The sequence below is a fragment of the Homo sapiens genome, chromosome 17 (genome assembly GCF_000001405.40).
Source record: "Homo sapiens chromosome 17, GRCh38.p14 Primary Assembly".
Lineage (NCBI taxonomy): Eukaryota > Metazoa > Chordata > Mammalia > Primates > Hominidae > Homo > Homo sapiens.
In genome coordinates this window covers 30,438,022-30,458,748 of record NC_000017.11, presented here as the reverse complement: position 1 = coordinate 30,458,748, position 20,727 = coordinate 30,438,022, and the positions used below count along the sequence as shown (strand labels likewise).

At 38.8% G+C, this 20,727-nt stretch overlaps 1 protein-coding gene across 2 annotated transcripts in view; it reads right to left on the bottom strand.

The window, feature by feature from the left end:
- Positions 1 to 20,727, bottom strand: part of CPD (carboxypeptidase D) — a 91,063-nt gene that overhangs the window by 11,241 nt on the left and 59,095 nt on the right. For both annotated transcript variants that reach the window (NM_001304.5, NM_001199775.1), the window contains exons 9-17: positions 19,672 to 19,774; positions 16,299 to 16,441; positions 14,778 to 14,947; positions 12,729 to 13,058; positions 9,001 to 9,196; positions 6,903 to 7,038; positions 3,279 to 3,410; positions 2,398 to 2,493; positions 2,223 to 2,287 (exon numbers count right to left, since the gene is read on the bottom strand). In NM_001304.5, the coding sequence (NP_001295.2) occupies positions 2,223 to 2,287; positions 2,398 to 2,493; positions 3,279 to 3,410; positions 6,903 to 7,038; positions 9,001 to 9,196; positions 12,729 to 13,058; positions 14,778 to 14,947; positions 16,299 to 16,441; positions 19,672 to 19,774 (1,371 nt within the window). The remainder of the gene's footprint in view (positions 1 to 2,222; positions 2,288 to 2,397; positions 2,494 to 3,278; positions 3,411 to 6,902; positions 7,039 to 9,000; positions 9,197 to 12,728; positions 13,059 to 14,777; positions 14,948 to 16,298; positions 16,442 to 19,671; positions 19,775 to 20,727) is intronic.

Below are 20,727 nucleotides of genomic sequence, written 5' to 3'. Positions count from 1 at the left end.
GATTACAGGTGCGCAGCACTACAGCCTGGCTAATGTTTGTATTTTTAGTATATGGGGTTTCAACATGTTGGCCAGGCTGGTCTTGAACTCCTGACATCAAATGATCCACCCACCTTGGCCTCCCAAAGTGCTCAGATTACAGGCCTGAGCCACCGTGCCAAGCCCATAAAACTCTTCAAAGAAAACACAAGGATAGGCGGCAGGGAGCAGGGAGGTGGGCAGGGGGGCCATGTACCCCGCCCCTCCCACTCATCCCACATTTGCCCTCCAAAAAAAAGAAAAGAAAACATGGGGTGGGGCGGGGCATCTTCATGACCTTGGATTTAGCAACAGATCCTTAGATAGGATAACAACTGCAAAAGCAACAACAACAAAAACAGGTACACTGGATTTCGTTACAATTAAAAACTCATGTATCAAAGGACATAATCAAGAAATTTAAAAGGTAACCTAAAGAATAGGAGAAAATACTTGCAAATCATGTATCTGATAAGAATTTCCTATCTAGAATACACAGCATCCAGAATGGGTTTTGTTTGTTTATTCGTTTTTTTGAGACAGAGTTTCGTGTTTGTTGCCCAGGCTGGAGTGCAATGGTGTAATCTCGGCTCACTGAAACCTCTGCTTCCCAAGTTCAAGCGATTCTCCTGCCTCAGCCTCCCAAGTAGCTGGGATTACAGGCACCTGCCACCACGCCCAGCTAATTTTTTTGTATTTTTAGTAGAGATGGGTTTCACCATGTTGGCCAGGCTGGTCTCAAACTCCTGACCTCAGGTGATCCTCCCGCCTCGGCCTCCCAAAGTGCTGGGATTATAGGCATGAGCCACCACCACGCTCAGCCTTTTATATTAATATATAAAGAACTCCAGCCTAGGCAACAAAGGGAGACCCTGTCTCTACAAAGAATTAAAAATAATTGGTTCAGCATGGTGGTGCATGCGGGTGGTCTTGGCTACTCAGGAGGCTGAGGTGGGGGGATTGCTTGGGCCTGGGAGGTTCAGGCTGCAATAAGCTGCGAAGGAGCCATAGCCACTGCACTCCAGCCTGAGCAACAAAGTGAGACTCTGTTTAAAAAAAAAAAAACCAGCAAATAAGTGTTGGTGAGGAGAGGATATGGGAAAATTGGAAACCTCAAACATTGCTGGTAAGGAATGTAAAATGGTGCAGCTGCTGTGGAAAACAGTTTGGTGGTTCCTCAAAAGGTGAAACATAGACTTACAATATAACCAGGCAATTCCACTCCTAGGTATCTACCCCAAAGAAGTGACAGATACTTGTAATACCAATGTTCATGGCAGCACAGGGTTCAAACAGATACCTGCAATACCAATCTTCATGGCAACATCATTTGCAACAGCCAAAAAGTAGAAATCCAAGTGCCCATTGACACATGAATTAACAAATAAAATGTGGTATAAACATAAATAGAATATTATTCAGCCATAAAAATGAATGAAGTAATGATACATGCTCTAAAATGGATGAATCCTAAAAACATTTTGCTAAGTGAAAGGGTAAATATTGTATGATTCTACTTACATGAAATACCTAGAATAGGCAAATTCATAGAGGCAGAAAGTAGACAGGGGTTCCAGGAGCCGTGGGAGAGGGGAATAGGGAGTTATTGCTTAGTGGGTACAGAGTTTCTGTCTGGGGCAAATGAAGTTTTGGAAATAGATATGGTTTTTGGGGCACAACATTTAATTAATGTCACTAAACTGTACAATTAAAAATGGTTAAAATGGCCAAAAAAGTACTGTCGGGTTAATGTAAGGGCTAAACATGTCAAGAAAGCCATGAGGCAGATGCCATTCACTTTACAATACCAGAAAAGTCACCTATTCTTGTACTCAATGGCTGATATTCATAAACTCCATTCTTTTTTTTTTTTTTTTTTTTTTTGAGATGGAATCTTGCTCTGTTGCCCAGGCTGGAGTGCAGTAGTGCGATCTCGGCTCGACTCACTGCAACCTCCGCCTCCCAGGTTCAAGCGATTCTCCTGACTCAGCCTCCCAAGTAGCTGGGATTACGGGCGTCTGCCACCACACCCAGCTAATTTTTATATTTTTAGTAGAAATGGGGTTTCACCATGTTGGCCAGGCTGGTCTTGAACTCCCAAACTCAGAAAATCCACCTGCCTTGGCCTCCCAAAGCACTGGGTTTACACATACGGCATTGTGCCTGGCCATAACTCCATTCTAACCATGTTCTAGAAAGCATACCTTCATGCTGCCCAGGTGACTATGCCATTCTGCTCCACGCATTACTCCTCCTGGAATATTCTCATCTATAAAAGCATTAAGAGATGTGGAATCAGGAAGACCTTAAGGTGAAACTCCTTTCCCCACAAAAGCAACAACAACAACAGCAATAACAAAAGGTATGGAAAACATCTACCTGATTTATTTGGGCAACTGGGCTGACCCATGTGCATGGATGGATGATTATTTGCATAAAGAGATGCCAAATGCTTCAGAGTCTCTTTATTTTCCACTATAGAAAGAAAAATTTAGAAGTCAGTGGAGAAATCCAAATGATTTTTTTCCCCCAAGTTAACCTTCATGGATACAAGTCATCTTTTTCTCCTAATAAATTTTGCACTCCACTTAAGTATACTGTTACTATAATTAACCCTAAAAGGTTTTATTTAGCCCAAGATAATAGAAGACAAACATCCTCTTTACATGAAAAGGTTCTAATGGTGAGTTTTCACAACAGACTATCACACTAAAATACAAACTTGTTTTGGTATGTCTTACTGCATTTTGGGACAACTGTAGCCTAATAACAATATTCTTTGTAAGATGCACTGAAAACCACCCAAACTATCTCCATATACTGCGACCCCACAGAGATTAAACAACCAACTATTTAACTCACCATAAGGTGCAACCACTTAGTCAAAGTTTAAAACAGGGAAGGACAAATCTGTACTGTTAGTATTTGGTTACATAGGAGTTTCATGAGGCAGAAACCGTGTCATACTCACTTTTATATTCTCAATATTTACAGACATAATAATTGCTCAGTAAATGCTTGTGGACTAAATGGAACAGATGGAACAAGATAGCTAGACTCAATAAAGCTGGGCTACCATTAGATCTGAGCTCTCCAAGTAACTGAACTGCTGATGTATGTACAATCTTCTTTGGTTGGTAATTTGCTCATAGAGTGTGCTCAAATGCTCACTATTTATAAAAATGTGGAAGGGACATTACTTAATTGGGATTTGCTACCTAAGCTTAAACAGTATATATATAAAATGACATTCTACATACCTGTCTGTACTGGCTTGTCATAAGGATATGTGACCAGCATGGAACCACCATCTAAGGCAACAGAAAGACTAAAGTCCTGTTTTTGAATCAAATTTTCAATGATGGCTTTGGTCTCAGGTTGGGAGGCATTATCTAAAAAAGAGAAAAGTCAAATATAAAATATCAAATTTTAAATCTTAGTATGAGTATCTAAGAAAATATTCTCTACTTGAATACAATCAAAATGCTAACTTAAAAATTTGTAGATAAATATTTTATTTCTCCATAAGCCACTATCTCAAGCAAGAAAGATACATTACAGAAGGTAGGTTAGTCTGAGTTTTATTATGTACTTCAGGATGTGTATATACTAATGACTCTAAGCAAGTTAAAGAAAAATCTTATTAAAAAAACAAAAAGAATAAGCATATCCAGCTTTACAAAATAATTTAGGGAATATATAAATAACCTATCTGATATGGTTTGGCTGTACCCCCACCCAAATCTCAACTTGAATTGTATCTCCCAGAATTCCCACGTGTTGTGGGAGGTACCCAGTGGGAGGTGACTGAATCATGGGGGCGGGTCTTTGCCATGCTATTCTTGTGATAGTGAATAAGTCTCACAAGATCTGATGGGTTTACCAGGGGATTCCACTTTCACTTCCTTCTCATTCTCTCTTGCCACTGCCATGTAAGAAGTGCCTTTCATCCTCCGCTATGATTGTGAAACCTCCCCAGCCATGTGGGACTGTAAGTCCAATTAAATCTCCTTTTCTTCCCAGTCTCGAGTATGTCTTTATTAGCAGTTTGAAAACAGACTAATACAGTAAATTGGTACCAATAGAGCCAGGTGTTGCTGAAAAGATACCCAAAAATGTGGAAGCAGCTTTGGAGCTGGGTAACAGGCAGAGGTTGGAATAGTTTGTAGGGCTCAGAAGAAGATGGGAAAATGTGGGAAAGCATAGAACTTCCTAGAGACTTGTTGAATGGCTTTGACAAAAATGCTGATAGTGATATGACCAATAAGGTCCAGGCTGAGGTGGTCTCAGACGGAGATAATGAACTTGTTGGGAACTGGAGCAAAGATGATTCTTGTTATGTTTTAGCAAAGAGACTGGCAGCATTTTGCCCCTGCCCTAGAGATTTTTGGAACTTTGAATCTGAGAGAGATGATTTAGGGTATCTGGCGGAAGAAATTTCTAAGCAGCAAAGCATTCAAGAGGTGACATGGGTGCTGTTAAAGGCATTCAGTTTTATAAGGGAAGCAAAGCATAAAAGTTTGGAAAATTTGCAGCCTGACTATGCAATAGAAAAGAAAAACCCATTTTCTGGGGAGAAATTCAACCCAGCTGCAGAAATTTGCATAAGTAGCCAGGAGCCTAATGTTAATCCCCAAGACCATGGGGAAAATGTCTCCAGGCCATGTCAGAGACCTTCTCGGCAGCCCCTCCCATCAAAGGCCTGGAGGCCCAGGAGGAAAAACTGGTTTTGTGGGCTGGGCCCAGGGTCCCCGTGCTGGGGGCAATCTAGGGACTTGGTGCCCTGTGTCCCAGCTGTGCCGGCTGTGACTAAAAGGGGCCAAGGTACAGCTCGGGCTGTTGCTTCAATGGGTGGAAGCCCCGAGACCTGGCAGCTTCCATGTGGCATTGAGCCCGCGGGTGCAAAAAAGTCAAGAATTGATGTTTGGGAACCTCCACCTAGATTTCAGAAGATGTATGGAAAAGCTTGGATGTCCAGGCAAAAGTTTGCTGCAGGGGCAGGCCCCTCATGGAGAACCTCTGCTAGGGCAGTGCAGAAGGGAAATGTGGGATCAGAGCCCCCACACAGAGTCCCTACTGAGGTACTGCCTAGTGGAGCTGTGAGAAGAGGGCCACCATCCTCCAGACTCCAGAATGGTAGATCCACGACAGCTTGCACCATGCCCCTGGAAAAGCCACAGACACTCAATGCCAGCTGGTGAAAGCAGCTGGGAGACAGCCTGTACCCTGTAAAGCCACAGGGGTGGAGCTGCCCAAGACCATGGGAACCCACTTCTTGCATCAGCATGACCTAGATGCAAGACATGGAGTCAAAGGAGAAAATTTTTGAACTTTTAAGATTTGACTGCCCTGCTGGATTCTGAACTTGCATGGGGCCTGTAGCCCCTCCATTTTGGCCAATTTCTCCCATTTGGAATGGCTGTATTTACTCAATGCCTGTACCCCTATTTTATCTAGGAAGTAACTAACTTGCTTTTGATTTTACAGCCTCAGAGGCAGAAGGGACCTGTCTTAGATGAGATGTTGGACTGTGGACTTTTGAGTTAATGCTGAAATAAGACTTTGGGGGACTGTTGGGAAGGCATGATTGGTTTTGAAATGTGAGGACATGAGATTTGGGAGGGGCCAGTGGCAGAATGATATGGTTTGGCTGTGTCCCCACTCAAATCTCAACTCGAATTTTATCTCCCAGAATTCCCACTTGTTGTGGGAGGGAGCCGGTGGGAGGTAACTGAATCATGGGGGCGGGTCTTTCCCGTATTATTCTTGTGATAGTGAATAAGTCTTATGAGATCTGATGGGTTTATCAGATCTGCTTTTGCTTCCTTCTCACACTCTCTTGCTGCCACCATGTAAGAAGTGGCTTTCATCCTGCAGCATGATTGTGAAACCTCCCCAGCCATGTAGAGCTGTAAGTCAAATTAAAACTCCTTTTCTTTCCAGTCTTGGGTATGCCTTTATCAGCAGTGTGAAAATGGACAAATACATTATCTTTGGAAGAAAATTAGAGTTTCAGAAAGCCGGGTGTTCTCTGCAGCACTGTTTACAAAAGCAAAAAATCAGAAATAAAGTAAATATCTATCAGTAGAAAATGGTTGAATAAATTAAGAGTACTGTCATAGATTCATGGCATACTAGATGCCATTAGAAAATAATGTTGGGCCTGGCACAGTGGCTAATGCCTATAATCCCAGCACTTTGGGAGGCTGGGCAGGCGGATCACCCGAGGTCGGGAGTTCAAGACCAGCCTGGTCAACATGATAAAACCCCATCTCTACTAAAAATACAAAAATTGGCCAGGCATGGTGGCGGGTCCCTGTAATCCCAGCTATTCAGGAGGCTGAGGCAGGATAATTGCTTAACCCAAGAGGCGGAGGCGAGCCAAGATTGTACCATTGCACTCCAGCCTGGGCAACAGAGTGAGACTCTGTCTCAAAAAAAAAAAAAAGAAAAAGAATGTTAGAGATCTATAAGTACTGAAATTGAACCATGTCAATGATACATATTCAATGAAAAAGGTCCCATTTAAGTAAATAAGAAATAGGGCTCTCCAAATCAATATACATACGTGTGTGTTGTGCGTGTATACACATACACACATACATAGGAGGGGAGAGAGAATACACATCTCTACACAACTAGTGAAGAAACAAACATCCCAATATAATGGATTGAATTTCTATGAAAAACTTAAATTATTTTTGCAAATAATAATGGAGAAAAATTCAAAAACTTTTCCAGATGTCTGAATTCATTTATACCTCACATTCATAACCCAGACAAGAAAGTACTCCATTATTCACTGACAAAATAGGATCAATCAATCTTCTAGCAGAAAGAAAATTATCTCCTAAGTACTTTAGTAGCCTAAAAATTAGTCTTACTTGTGAAGTCTGTATCCAAATCTTTGCCACGAGCATTTGTTTGTCCTATTTTTGAAGTACAGTCTTTCTCTTGAGCTCTCTCTCGCCCATCTGGATTTAGAGAAGGGACAATCACAATCCTAGTCCTGTCAACCAACTGAAGCACAAACAGAAATTAACGAGTTACTAGCTGCATGTAGAATCAATGGGTACCCTCTCATGCCTCAAACAGAAAGTCTGTTTATTCTACACATAGTTAATTTAAAAGACAGAACTAAGATGAATGAAAAAATAAAAAATTAAATTTCCTTTTGCTTCAAATATATTAAAAATAAGCAAAAAACTACTGTACAGCTAATGTTCCCAGAGACCTTCCAGTGACTTAGAACAGGGGTGAGAAACCACTAACAGCAGGCCAAATCCAGTTGGTGCCTGCTATTGTATATAAAGTTTTACTGACACATAAGCATGACTATTCATTTACATATGACTGTTTTGTGCTCTAATGGCAGAGTTGAGTAAGTTCGCAACACAGAGCACCTGTCCCACAAAGGAAGATAACATAATTTTTGGTCAGTCTGATTTAAGTTCATGTCACCTAATTACACAGGTCCCTTCTGATCCTAATCATGACATCAATTCTTTCCCAATTTGTTTTGGGGAGGCAGAACTGCACTGGGCTTCAAAGTAGACATACGTGGGTTTAAATTCTAGTTTTACCAGTTTCTAGCTGTGGGACTGCCTCAGTTTCTACATTTATAAAATGGAGATAATCATTATCACAGGGTTGAGGATATAATGACGTATATAAAATACCTGGTATATTACCCAGCACAAAATATGTATTCAATAAATATCAGTTCTTTTTCCCTTTCCTAAGTCCACTATGGACAGTGCCAATTAGTGAGTGTTTCACTCTTTCCTTCCCTTCTCTGAGGCAACGTACAACTAGGATGCTTAATCATACGTGCCCAAGCCTCTGGGTCAAAGTTTTGTTTTGTTTTGTTTGTTTTTGAGATTCCAGCCTGTTACCCAGGCTGGAATGCAGTGGTGCAATCACAGCTCACTGCAGTCTTGACCTACTAGGCTCAAGTGATCCTCCCACTTTAGCGTCCCAAGTAGCTAGGATTACAGGTGTGCACCACAAGGCCCAGCTAATTTTTTAAATTTTTGTAGAGACAAGGTATCACTCTGCTGCTCTGGCTGGTCTCAAACGCCTGGCCTCAAGTGGTCCTCTCTCTTCAGCCCCCTGAAGTGTTGTGATTACAGGCATGAGCCATCACACCCCAGTCAAAGTTCTTTTCTGTAGTCACAGATTGCTAAAGTAGATAACACCATATTGCTTTTTCTAAAATCTCTTAGCAGCCAAGATGTCCAATAATTTTTTATGTATTACATGAAAAAGAAAACTATACTGAAAAACTAGGCTTTCACTAGATTTTTCAATATAGTGTCCTAGTTATAAGTAATTCAGAATGGAAGTCCCTCAAGTCAGAATGTAAAAAACTGGCCAGGCGCCATGGCTCACGCCTGTAATCACAGCATTTTTGGGAGGCCAAAGGAGGTGGATTACCTGAGGTCAGGAGTTCGAGACCAGCGTGGCCAACATGGCAAAACCCCGTCTCTACCAAAAATATAAAAAAATTAGCCGGGCATGGTGGTGGGCATCTGTAGTCCCAGCTACTCAGGAAGCTGAGGCGGGATAATTGCTTGAATCCAGGAGGTGGAGGTTGCAGTGAGCCGAGATCATGCCATTGCACTCAAGCCTGGGTGATAGAGCAGGACTCTGTCTCAAAAAAAAAAAAAAAAAGTAAAGAACTATGAATAAAGACTGGAAGGGTAGTGTGGCTATTAAATGACGGAGTAGGAAATTGAATGTAAATTTTTAGTATTCTTTCCTGCATGCCTCTTAAGACATACAAGGAAATATAATAGAAAGACACTATTAACAAAGGGTATATACTACAAAGATGGTTCATTTTTAAAGAGTAAAGTTCATAATGTACTACAAGTGACTCTGTAAAATCTAGCAAGAAATTAAAAATTTTAAAAATGGTGCCCTGATATTAATGTTGAGCTTTTTCCTTTTAAAGCATGTCAACCTCGGCTATTCTCTTACTTGGGTAACAGCTGGGTTCTTTTTGTAGTTCAGGCAGAGAAATTCTGCCAGAGCCAAAAGCAGTTCAGTTCCAACTGGCGCATTTCCATGGATACCAGCAACAAAACGAATCTTTGGTTCTTCAGGCTCAGATACATTGGGCTTATTGGAGATTTCAAGGGACCAAATGTGACGATATTCAGTGCTCTGTCCCAAACTTTCAAAAACCAGAAACAAAAAAATCAGCAAGTAATCAAGCACTATGTTAATGTTGACTTATGGACTTTAAAAATAGAAATGAAAACAAAACACAAAAAGTTTTAAAAAGTCTTTAAAGAGTGAATCACTGCATCAGAAAACCTTAAGAAAATTAGTTTTCCTTGACCAAAGAACATTTATCAAATAGATGATATTATCAGATTTAGGAAAGATTTAGGAAAGATTATGATTTAGTTTACCATCCTTCCAAATTCAGTAATTCTCATACAATCATCACAATATTTGCCCTATCTTCTTTAATCTACACTACTATTTAGTTAATATATTTTGTACTAACTCACAAATTAAATTTTTATTACAGAAATATTTAAGTATGTATGAACATAGATAACCTCCCTTATTTATTTATTTATTTATTTATATTATTGTCATTATATTTTTAAGAGACAGGGTCTCACTATGTCACCCAAGCTGGAATGCAATGGCTTGATCATAGCTCACTGCAGCCTTGAATTCCAGGACTCAAGTGATCCTCTGGCCTCAGTCTCCTAAGGGAGTAGTACTACAGGTTTGCACCACCATGCCTAGCTAATTTTTTAAAAAAAATTTTGTAGAGACAGGGTCTTGCTATATTGCTGAGGCTGGTTTCAAGCGCTTCTGGCCTCAAGCAATCCTCCCACCTCAGCCTCCCAAAGTGCTGGGATTACAGCATGCGCCACCACCCTGGCCCTCCCTTTTTAATCAAAATTAATATTTGTAAATAAGTCACGTTATATTTTACTATAAATGCAACACCAGTTTCACAGTAAAAGTAATTTGAGTGGGGAAAAAAATACTAATTCAATGAAAATTAAACAATGGTCAAATACTCTGCTTGCCCAAGAGCTTTGAGCTTAAGGTCTGCTTTCTTTAGCATAAAGGGAGATTTACAAGAATTGGACAGAAAAAAATAATCATATTAAATTGAGAAAAATTAACAGAAACCTTATTGCTTTCTCATGACGCTATTCAATGGTACTTAGTGCCTGTTGGTGTACCACCTAAAACTCTCTTGTGCCCCACCACTGGCATGTGTGGCATATTTTGAGAAAATATTTAACTAAAAAGTGTGTCTTGAATTAGGAGGTTAAAAAAATTAAATCAACTAAGTAAACAGACAGCAAAATAATGCCCAATTTTTGTTTGTTTTAGAGACAGGATCTTACTGTCACCTAGGCTGGAGTACAGTGGTGTGATCATAGTTCAACGTAAACTGGAGCTCCTGGCCTCAAGCGATCCTCCCACCTGGGCCTCCCAAAGTGCTGGGATTACAGGTGTGAGCCACTGTGCCCAGCCTGGTTTTATTTTAAAATAAAAAAGTATATGAACTCTATGGCACTAAGATTGTATGATATTAAAACCTGAAATAGCCAGAAATATCCAAGAATCAGTTAAGGAAGAAAAGTAATTGGTATTGCCAAAGAAAGTTAAGTATCACTCTGCATCTATGAATATTATAAATCAGAATTTGAGGAACTAAGTTTTCTGATGAAATTAAAAGGACCCATGAAGAAAGACAAAGTAAAAAGGTAAAAGGCTAAATAATGTTCATGAGGTTTGCAGCAGAGAACTATATGCTCAAGGCAAAATGTAAAGACCTTAACTACAACAGGCAAACCATAGGAATCAACAAATCATAGAAATAATTTTGGAGTAACTGTAACAAAATCTAAAATGAAGCAGTGCAAGTGAGGCAGAGCAACCACCACAAAGTGAAGGTAAAGGCTATCTCAGCTATCAGTTTTACATAAGCCAGGACTGTATGTTTTCCCTGGGACCCACGATCACACATGTCCCTAAAGCTTCAAGTAAGAGACTGTGAATAGAGACTAGAATTAGGACAGCAACTAGGCTTCATTTTCTAATTAAAAAAAAAAAGTTACACATAATCCCTAACAGGTGAGCTTACAGTTCTAAATTCCTCCCTTGCCCCAAGCAAAATAAAACAAACTAAACAATATTTAGTCAGAACATATTAATAGATCTGTAGCTGAGTGATGGAAAGGGTTTTACAATCAGTCAAAATAATTATCAGGAAGAGCAATTTTACATTTCCTGGAATCACAGGCTATCTACTTCTAATCTAACAAGTAATTCTCCTTAAAGTTCCCAAGATTCACTATTAAAAAGATCTCCAAGCACCCCTTCCTTACACCTTATACAAAAATTAATTCACGATGGATTAAAGACTTACATGTTAGACCTAAAACCATAAAAACCCTAGAAGAAAACCTAGGCAATACCATTCAGGACATAGGCATGGGCAAGAACTTTATGTCTAAAACACCAATAGCAATGGCAACAAAAGCCAAAATTGACAAATGGGATCTCATTAAACTAAAGAGCTTCTGCACAGCAAAAGAAACTACCATCAGAGTGAACAGGCAACCTACAGAATGGAAGAAAATTTTTGCAATCTACTCATCTGACAAAGGGCTAATATCCAGAATCTACAAAGAACTTAAACAAATTTACAAGAAAAATACAAACAACCCCATCAAAAAGTGGGTGAAGGATATGAACAGACACTTCTCAAAAGAAGACATTTATGCAGCCAAAAGACACACAAAAAAATGCTCATCATCACTGGCCATCAGAGAATGCAAATCAAAACCACAGTGAGATACCATCTCACATCAGTTAGAATAGCAATCATTAAAAAGTCAGGAAACAACAGGTGCTGGAGAGGATGTGGAGAAATAGGAACACTTTTACATTGTTGGTGGGACTGTAAACTAGTTCAACCATTGTGGAAGTCAGTGTTGCAATTCCTCAGGGATCTAGAACTGGAAATACCATTTGACCCAGCCATCCCATTACTGGGTATATACCCAAAGGACTATAAATCATGGTGCTATAAAGACACATGCACACGTATGTTTATTGTGGCACTATTCACAATAGCAAAGACTTGGAACCAACCCAAATGTCCATCAATGATAGACTGGATTAAGAAAATGTGGCACATATACACCATGGAATACTATGCAACCATAAAAAATTATGAGTTCATGTCCTTTGTAGGGACATGGATGAAGCTGGAAACCATCATTCTCAGCAAACTATCGCAAGGACAAAAAACCAAACACTGCATGTTCTCACTCATAGGTGGGAACTGAACAATGAGAACACTTGGACACAGGAAGGGGAACATCACACCCTGGGGTCTGTTGTGGGGTAGGGGTAGGGGGGAGGGATAGCATTAGGAGATATACCTAATGTAAATGACGAGTTAATGGGTGCAGCACACCAACATGGCACATGTATACATATGTAACAAACCTGCACGTTGTGCACATGTACCCTAAAACTTAAAGCATAATTAAAAAAAAAAGATCTCCAAGCAAATACATGTTGCAAAATAAGTAAACTCCAACTCTCTGTACATTCTGTTCCCAAATATTTCTATATAAATTACAACTATTCAACATGGCTAATGCTGATTTTACTGTCTTGAAAAAAAAAAAAAGACAATAGAAAGTGACACTTACTTGGTAAGATTTGTAATATGTGGATAGTTCATTACAAGTCCTCTCAGAAACTCTGATAAGTCTTTGTAGGAATGGTATCGATAAAGAGCCAGAGCCAGATTTGAGGAGGAGCGTAACATGAGGCTTTCCAAACCATTCTCCGCTGAAAGGTCTTTAATTAAAGTTTCAAACTCTTTAGTAGTTGGATCACTGGCATCATTGGTGCTGCTGCTAGCCCCTTTTCCTTTCTTTGATTCATTGTTTGAATCTGTTGAGGATCGAACAAGTGTGAAGTTGACCTGAATAGCGCCTTCACTCTTGACAGTCACATTCTTGGTAACTGGATTATACCTATGATAAAGGAGACAGATCAGAACCACACTCCTGCAGCTGGAGTACCCAAACCCTGGGAAGGCAGGTGTGCAGAGAACGTAAGAATCCTTGGGATAAATGTGGTGCAGTTTCCTAAAGAGACAAAATTTTAACGTTGAGTAATTTATTATTTTTAATACATTAATAAAGAATAGACATGGGTATATTACAAAATATGAATGGATTTTTTTTCATGATTTTTTTTAAGATGGAGTCTTGCTCTGTCACCCAGGCTGGAGTGCAGTGGCACCATCTCAGTTCACTGCAACCTCCGCCTCCTGGGTTCAAGTGATTCTCCTGCCTCAGCCTCCTGAGTAGCTGGGATTGCAGGTGCCCACCACCATGCCTGGATAATTTTTGTATTTTTAGTAGAGACAGGATTTCACCATGTTGGCCAGGCTGGTCTCAAACTTCTGACCTCAAGTGATCCACCTGCCTCTGCCTCCCAAAGTGCTGGGATTACAGACCTGAGCCACCGCACCTGGCCTAGGTTTTTAAGATTAAATATATGGCTTCAAAAGAAATTTAGTGCTTGTAGTGGATACTCCCATGTCTCCTGGAACTTAAATTCACTTGTCTTCTATCAGGGTATACGGGTGGGAAAGTTGCAGAGGTGCTAGGTTATGACATTCTCTGCCAAACACATCCTTCTCACCCTGTTTCTCGGATCCCCTGCTGCTTTAGTTAACACTCTGCCAAAAATGGAAGAATCACAGAAAAGACCTCATTACTCATTAGTGTGAGGTTCTAACCCATTCATTTACGGACCACTAGATATCTGAAAACCATTAAAAAACAAAGGCAACGACTAAAATGCTTTCATATTTTACCCTTACTTCAATGGGTATTCAAACTAACTCTTCAGAAATAAGTTAGCTAGCAGGAGGAAGGGAAAATATCCTGTGGTAACATCTATACTTATCAAAAGATAAAAAAGAAAACTACAAGAGAAACCCTGTCTCTACTAAAAATACAAAAATTAGTCGGGTGTGGTGGCACACACCAGTAATATCAACTACTTGGGAGGCTGAGGCACAAGCATCCCTTGAACCCAGGAGGCAGAAGTTGCAGGCAGCTGAGATAGTGCCATGCACTCCAGCCTGGGCGATAGAGAGAAGCTCTGTCTCAAAAAAAAAAAAAAAAAAAAAAAAAAGTTACTAGCATGTTAAATAGACTGCATTGCTTTGGGCTTACCTGTATTTAGCAAATTAAAAGAACGAGAAATGTTCTTTCTATGCATTTTCTATGTTCTTTGTGCTTCATCAACTAACACTTCTGTTACTCCTTTAAAGGAAAAACTATCTTGAACACATTTCCAATAAATTCTACTATGAATTGGAACTGACTGTAGAATTACTTCAGCCTAACTCTCCTTTTAAATAAAAAACCTAAGGCCATGAGGATCAGGATTTGATGTGTATTCTAAAATGTCTTGTTTAATGTCCAGGTTGGAAGCATGTCACAATGAGTCAACTAAGCAATAACTAGAATATTTACCCCAGGAATCTTTCCTTTTTTTTTTTTTCGTGTACTCTATCTGCCACTAAAGGAGAGTCAAAGGTATAACCAGCCCTAAACTTCGCAGCAATCCATTCAAAGTTGCTTAACAGGCTCTCTAGAACGTTCTAGTAATAATCCTCCAGAATGGAGCCATGTTTGTCCTCCGAGCACTCTATTTCAAAGCATTCAGTCACTCACCCTCGAGCAGATGCTGTGATTTTATAAGTTCCTGGAACCAAGAGACGCCAGTAATCTCCAGTTTTGTAAGTAGTCACTGGGTGATTAATCTCAGCAACACTAATGGTGGCATTTAATATACCCCTGCCATCTGTGGCATCTAGAACAAATCCTCTGACGCCCTGATGAACCTGGATTAAGTACAAGGACACCAGATTTCAATAATAAACATCATCATCTAATTATCTTGGGAGGTCATATTCAAAATAACAGATTGTCAACACAAATAAATGGAACAAACAGGAATTTAGGAGTTCAGAGTAAAGTTCAATGTAAATGTTCATTAAAATATTTCTGAAGGCTAATTTTTCATAGGCTTTGTTTCTCTTTATCATGAAGAATATAAATAACACTGTTTAAACTTTAGCACATTCTGATGATTTCAGAATATATGACATTCTACAAGAAAACAGACCTGGCCTTTTCAAAAGGAAATGGCATTTTTTAAAAACAGAAGGACTCTTATAGTTCAAAGAATAGTAAAGAGATATAATAATCCAATGCAATGCATGAAACTTGACTAGATCCTGGTCATAAAATACAGCTGTAAAATTACATTTTGGGGACAAATATGGACATTTAAATATAAACTAAGTATTAGGTAATATTAGGGAATTACTGTTAATTTTCTTGGGTAGGACAGTAGCACTTAGAGATAGTATGTAGTAGCTCCTTATTTTTAGGAGATAGATGCTGAAATATTTAGGGGTAAAATACCATACCTGCAATTTATATTACAATAGTTCAGTCAAAAATATGTATGTGTATGTGAGTGTGTAAATAAAATTTACATTAAAATAAAGCAAATATAACAAAATGTTAAAAATGTTAAATCTAGGTATAGGAATAATTATTGGCTAGTCATAACTTTTCTGTATATTTAAAATTTTTCAGAATAAAATGTCTTTAAATATAGTAAAAAAAACTCACAGACTTTATGTCACACCACTCAGGAAAAAGAAAAATGCAGAAATGTACTGGCAGAAAGTATTAGTCTGATTATCCTAATTAACATTAGTATATTTCTTATAATCTTTACCTACTGGCCACCACACATATCCAAACAAAAGGAAATTAATCATTTCACAGTAAATCACTGGCAACAAGAAAAAGAATAAAAACATTCACTCCACAGCCCATCTTTCTATCACTTGGCCAATGATTAGGTGTGTATCCAATTTATGCTGGTCTTTTTTAAACACGGGTAAAAAGTGACCACTAACCCTTAAGAGCAAAATATCACTACCTTGTTCAATCATTTTCTTCAACTTTTCCTCACATATACAAATAAACTCATTTCCATTCACGAATTTTCTAGATAAATATATTAAACACCTTGGAATATACAAACTGGTTAAATATACTAAAATGAATTGAAATTTTAAAGAGTGTATTCCAAAATCACTGCACAAAAACCACGTGTACGCACAAAAATCTTTTCACCCTCGGGAGAAATTTCATACTTCACTCCTGAATAGTCACCTGTTTCATAAACTGGATTAGTGATCTTCGATTCTGTTCCCAAAAGTTTGGCAGCTCTTTCTCAAGTGGATATTTCACACAACCTAGTTCAATAGTCACTTCAAAGCAATTTGTTTGTAAATAGTTCCAGTCCTGCATTCCTCCTAAAAGATAAAAATTAAAATTAGTCACTCTGAAGAAGTTCTAAACAGCTCAGATCCCAAAAGGTAAGCAACATTCCTAGTAAAAAGCCAAATTTATCTCTTATCAGCATTGATAAGCTAACGTGTTCATGTGAGGGCACTTTGATGCTTGCGATACAAGCAAAACACCTATACCTTCATGTGGAAGAAGTTGAATCTCTTAATAGACCAATAACAGGAGCTGAAATTGTGGCAATAATCAATAGCTTACCAACCAAAAAGAGTCCAGGACCAGATGGATTTACAGCCGAATTCTACCAGAGGTACAAGGAGGAACTGGTACCATTCCTTCTGAAACTATTCCAATCAATAGAAAAAGAGGGAATCCTCCCTAACTCATTTTATGAGGCCAGCATCATTCTGATACCAAAGCCGGGCAGAGACACAACAAAAAAAGAGAATTTTAGACCAATATCCTTGATGAACATTGATGCAAAAATCCTCAATAAAATACTGGCAAACTGAATCCAGCAGCACATCAAAAAGCTTATCCACCATGATCAAGTGGGCTTCATCCCTGGGATGCAAGGCTGGTTCAATATACGCAAATCAATAAATGTAATCCAGCATATAAACAGAACCAAAGACAAAAACCACATGATTATCTCAATAGATGCAGAAAAAGCCTTTGACAAAATTCAACAACTCTTCATGCTAAAAACTCTCAATAAATTAGGTATTGATGGGACGTATTTCAAAATAATAAGAGCTATCTATGACAAACCCACAGCCAATATCATACTGAATGGGCAAAAACTGGAAGCATTCCCTTTGAAAACTGGCACAAGACAGGGATGCCCTCTCTCACCACTCCTATTCAACATAGTGTTGGAAGTTCTGGCCAGGGCAATTAGGCAGGAGAAGGAAATAAAGGGTATTCAATTAGGAAAAGAGGAAGTCAAATTGTCCCTGTTTGCAGATGACATGATTGTATATCTAGAAAACCCCATTGTCTCAGCCCAAAATCTCCTTAAGCTGATAAGCAACTTCAGCAAAGTCTCAGGATACAAAATCAATGTACAAAAATCACAAGCATTCTTATACACCAACAACAGACAAACAGAGAGCCAAATCATGAGTGAACTCCCATTCACAATTGCTTCAAAGAGAATAAAATACCTAGGAATCCAACTTACAAGGGATGTGAAGGACCTCTTCAAGGAGAACTACAAACCACTGCTCAAGGAAATAAAAGAGGATACAAACAAATGGAAGAACATTCCATGCTCATGGGTAGGAAGAATCAATATTGTGAAAATGGCCATACTGCCCAAGGTAATTTACAGATTCAATGCCATCCCCATCAAGCTACCAATGACTTTCTTCACAGAATTGGAAAAAACTACTTTAAAGTTCATATGGAACCAAAAAAGAGCCCGCATCGCCAAGTCAATCCTAAGCCAAAAGAACAAAGCTGGAGGCATCACACTACCTGACTTCAAACTTTACTACAAGGCTACAGTAACCAAAACAGCATGGTACTGGTACCAAAACAGAGATATAGATCAATGGAACAGAACAGAGCCCTCAGAAATAACACCACATACCTACAACTGTCTGATCTTTGACAAACCTGAGAAAAACAAGAAATGGGGAAAGGATTCCCTATTTAATAAATGGTGCTGGGAAAACTGGCTAGCCATATGTAGAAAGCTGAAACTGGATCCCTTCCTTATACCTTATACAAAAATCAATTCAAGATGGATTAAAGATTTAAACGTTAGACCTAAAACCATAAAAACCCTAGAAGAAAACCTAGGCATGACCATTCAGGACATAGGCATGGGCAAGGACTTCATGTCCAAAACACCAAAAGCAATGGCAACAAAAGACAAAATTGACAAATGGGATCTAATTAAACTAAAGAGCTTCTGCACAGCAAAAGAAACTACCATCAGAGTGAACAGGCAACCTACAAAATGGGAGAAAATTTTCGCAACCTACTCATCTGACAAAGGGCTAATATCCAGAATCTACAATGAACTCCAACAAATTTACAAGAAAAAAACAAACAACCCCATCAAAAAGTGGGCGAAGGACATGAACAGACACTTCTCAAAAGAAGACATTTATGCAGCCAAAAAACACATGAAAAAATGCTCATCATCACTGGCCATCAGAGAAATGCAAATCAAAACCACAATGAGATACCATCTCACACCAGTTAGAATGGCAATCATTAAAAAGTCAGGAAACAACAGGTGCAGGAGAGGATGTGGAGAAATAGGAACACTTTTACATTGTTGGTGGGACTGTAAACTAGTTCAACCATTGTGGAAGTCAGTGTGGCGATTCCTCAGGGATCTAGAACTAGAAATACCATTTGACCCAGCCATCCCATTACTGGGTATATACCCAAATGACTATAAATCATGCTGCTATAAAGACACATGCACACGTATGTTTATTGCGGCATTATTCACAATAGCAAAGACTTGGAACCAACCCAAATGTCCAACAATGATAGACTGGATTAAGAAAATGTGGCACATATACACCATGGAATACTATGCAGCCATAAAAAATGATGAGTTCATGTCCTTTGCAGGGACATGGATGAAATTGGAAATCATCATTCTCAGTAAACTATCGCAAGAACAAAAAACCAAACACCGCATATTCTCACTCATAGGTGGGAATTGAACAATGAGATCACATGGACACAGGAAAGGGAATATCACACTCTGGGGACTGTGGTGGGGTGGGGGGAGGGGGGAGGGATAGCATTGGGAGATATACCTAATGCTAGATGACGAGTTAGTGGGTGCAGCGCACCAGCATGGCACATGTATACATATGTAACTAACCTGCACAATGTGCACATGTACCCTAAAACCTAAAGTATAATAAAAAAAGAAAAGAAAAAAAAAAAAAGAAAGTAACGTTGTAAAGAAAAAAAAGAATTCAAATATAGCTTACACTCTTCTATTAGCACATGTAAGATTCTTTCTAATAGCCAGAAGTAAAATGTAACCATTTAATCAAGTTTTAGTGCATTATTCTTACTCAACCCTCAACGTACATCAAACATAAAAGTAGTTGAAAAGATTATTTAAATATTTTAAACTATTTAAACCATGTTTTAAAAATAATTATTATTCCTCAAAACTAAAAGATAATAACAAGAAGCACCATCTAGGAAAGCAGAAAGGCCATCAAGTTGTAAGGCCTTGATATAAAAGAATCTTTACCTGGCACATTATACCAACTAGCTCCATTTGTTATTCCATGAGGAAAATATTCATTAGGATACATATTCTTGCAAGGTCTACCTTGAAACATCTGGGAATTTTCCTGGAAAAACAAAAAGAATCTTTACTTCTATTTGTTTGTATCTCCATCAAAAAAAAATACTGGAAAGATACAGGAAAATAATAAAAGTGGCTTCCAACAGGGTATGTGAGGGGTGGAGGTGGGAGTGGGGTGGGGCTATGAGCAGTGAGACTTTTCAGTGTATAGCTTTTTATGCCATTTTGATTTTTCACTATCTGAACTTATCTATTTTTAAAAATCAAAATACAATGTGCTCCGTAAGAAAATATTGACTTCATTTATTACTCGCAATTACAAGTAATATAAAACCTAGCTGAACCCCTCTCTAAAAAAAATTTCTGCTCATATTTATACTTTCGTTTCATGCTTTCAAGGAGCTTGAAGTCCAAAAAAGATAATACACACACAATAAAAGCAAGCAGCTTTCCCTGACTGCTAGCAGGAATAAGATGGCCCCTCTGTGCTCTGACTGCCCTCTGTACAATTATCTTACCCTATTACAACTAGTTGCACCTTTCTCTTCCCTAAAGACAATACACTATTCCTTGAAACAGTTTGTGTCTCTGTGTCCTCAGCATCTAGCATACAGTAGGTGTCCAACTGATAACTCAATGAAGGGTAAGAAAAACTGCCATGGAGACACAAATGCATGCCATTGAAAGCAAGAGGAGAGAAAGATTACATCTGATGAGAGTGGCAGGGGGAGTTTCCTAGAAGAAATTGAGCTTTGAAAGATGGTCAAAACTTCATTTATCTCTTTTTGAAACAGAAAAAAAGTACTGAAAGTGTGAAGAGAAAAAGAATAATTTCCCATTTTTCTACCACAGAGAATTAACCATTTAAAATATATAAACAGGGACAGGTAAGATCACACCTGTAATCCCAACACTTTGGGAGGCCAAGGTTGGAGAACTGCTTGAGCTCAGAAGTTCAAGACCAGCCTGGGCAATACAGTGAGACCTCATCTCTACAAA